Consider the following 1,672-nt stretch of genomic DNA (forward strand, 5'->3'; position numbering starts at 1 on the left):
TTTCCTTTGGAGGTGTCACATTTCTTTCCTTTTTTATGTTTCTTGTGTCCTTGCATTGATATCTACGCCTCTGATATACTAGTTCCTTCTTCCAATATTTTGGATTGGCTTTTGTAGGGGAAGACTTTTTCCTGTAATTGTATCTATGGTGTCTGTTGGCATGTAAGCTTTTATTCTGAGTGTGTGCAGTAATGTAGTCTTCATATGATTTCTCTGGTTGTAAATGGTCTCAGTGGTGTCTGTGATTTCCTCAGTGGCTTAGGCTATGTTTGTTATGGAGGCTGTGCTTGGCATAAAGACACCAGGTGGGCCAATTCTCAGGCCTCATTGGTGGCAGCAGCTGGCTGAGTGTGCTTGTCCTTGGGCCCCCAGGCAGCCAGTATTACATGGACACCAATGTTAGTGGGTCCAGGCAGGCCAATTCACAGGGCTCCAAGTGGCTTGCTCCAGCATGTAGCAGTGGCAACATGGGATGGGTAGGTAGGCAGGCCCTTCGTCAACATGTGTGACATGGGCAACGATAGTATTCATCATAGGAAAACCCTCTGGCTCCCAGGAAGCTCCTGCTGGTGTTAGTGGTGGTAACAAAGGGCTGGGGAGGCCCATCCCCAGATACCCAGGTGGAACATGCAGGTGAATGTCAATGGTGGTGATGGTGACAGGCTGGGAAGGCTCATCCTCCGGCCCCCAGAACTGCATGGATGCCAGAAGTAGTGGATGATGTGCAGCAGACAACACAGCACAATCCCCAGGCCCCCAGGCAATGCGCTCAAGCACTAGGAGGGACAGCACCAGGCAGAACCTGCCTGTCCTTAGGCCTGCACAGATGCAGGCTGTAGTGGGTGGATCAGAGGAATCCCCATGACCCCTTTGGCATGCTCAAGTGGCAGCAGCAGTGTCAGCATTGGTTGGGGAGAGCCTGTTCTCAGGAGCATGTGAGTGTGCTGAGGCCCTGCTGTTAAGGAGAGTTTCTGTTTAGTGGCAGCTACCCCAGGCAGGCAGCTTTCAGGCTCTGGAGCGTATGCCCTTCCATTCCCTTTGTCCTGGAGGCAGCCTCTCTGGTGAGACCCAAGTAGCTGGGGATACTACTGGGGATCTCTCTGTTGCCTTTTTCTGCACAAGGAGTCTTTCTGGGATCCCTGCCTATCCCAGCCAGGCTGGCTGCTTCATTTCTCTCTTTTTTCATGCCTTATTTCTGTTACTTCCCTCCTAAGTTTCAGTGATCTCTCTTAGATTCTCTACTTGAAGTGTGATTATCTACTTGCTGCTTTGGTTCTTCTTAGTGGAGGAAAAGTGTCAGGTGCCTCTACCTAGCCATTGAAGATCATCTCCTGTCCTTCTTTTTCAATATTGTTTTAACTATTTGAAGTCTCTTGCAATTCCACATGCAGTTGAGGATTTCCCATTTCTGCAGAAAAGGCCATTGGGATTTTAATAAGGATTGCATTGAATATGTAGATCTCTTTGAGGAGTATTACCGTCTTGAGAATATTAAGTCTCTATTCCATGCACAGAGAATGTCTTTCCATTTATTTATACTTTCTTCAATTTCTTTTAGTACCATTTTGTAGTTTTCAGTGTAGAGGTCTTGCTCCTTACTTGAATTTATTCCTAAGTATTTTATTATTTTTGATGCTATTATAAATGTAATTGTTTCCTCAATTTCCTTTTA

General features: G+C 46.6%; 1 annotated feature.

Annotated features, from left to right (window-relative positions):
• Nucleotides 206-706: an enhancer, noted in NCBI's record as "H3K4me1 hESC enhancer chr3:112590118-112590618 (GRCh37/hg19 assembly coordinates)". NCBI's record gives its function as "activates a minimal SCP1, AML or CMV promoter by ChIP-STARR-seq in primed H9 embryonic stem cells {active_cell/tissue: H9 hESC(primed)}" and the evidence as "EXISTENCE:reporter gene assay evidence [ECO:0000049][PMID:30033119]".

Source organism: Homo sapiens, chromosome 3 (assembly GCF_000001405.40).
Source record: "Homo sapiens chromosome 3, GRCh38.p14 Primary Assembly".
Classification (NCBI taxonomy): domain Eukaryota; kingdom Metazoa; phylum Chordata; class Mammalia; order Primates; family Hominidae; genus Homo; species Homo sapiens.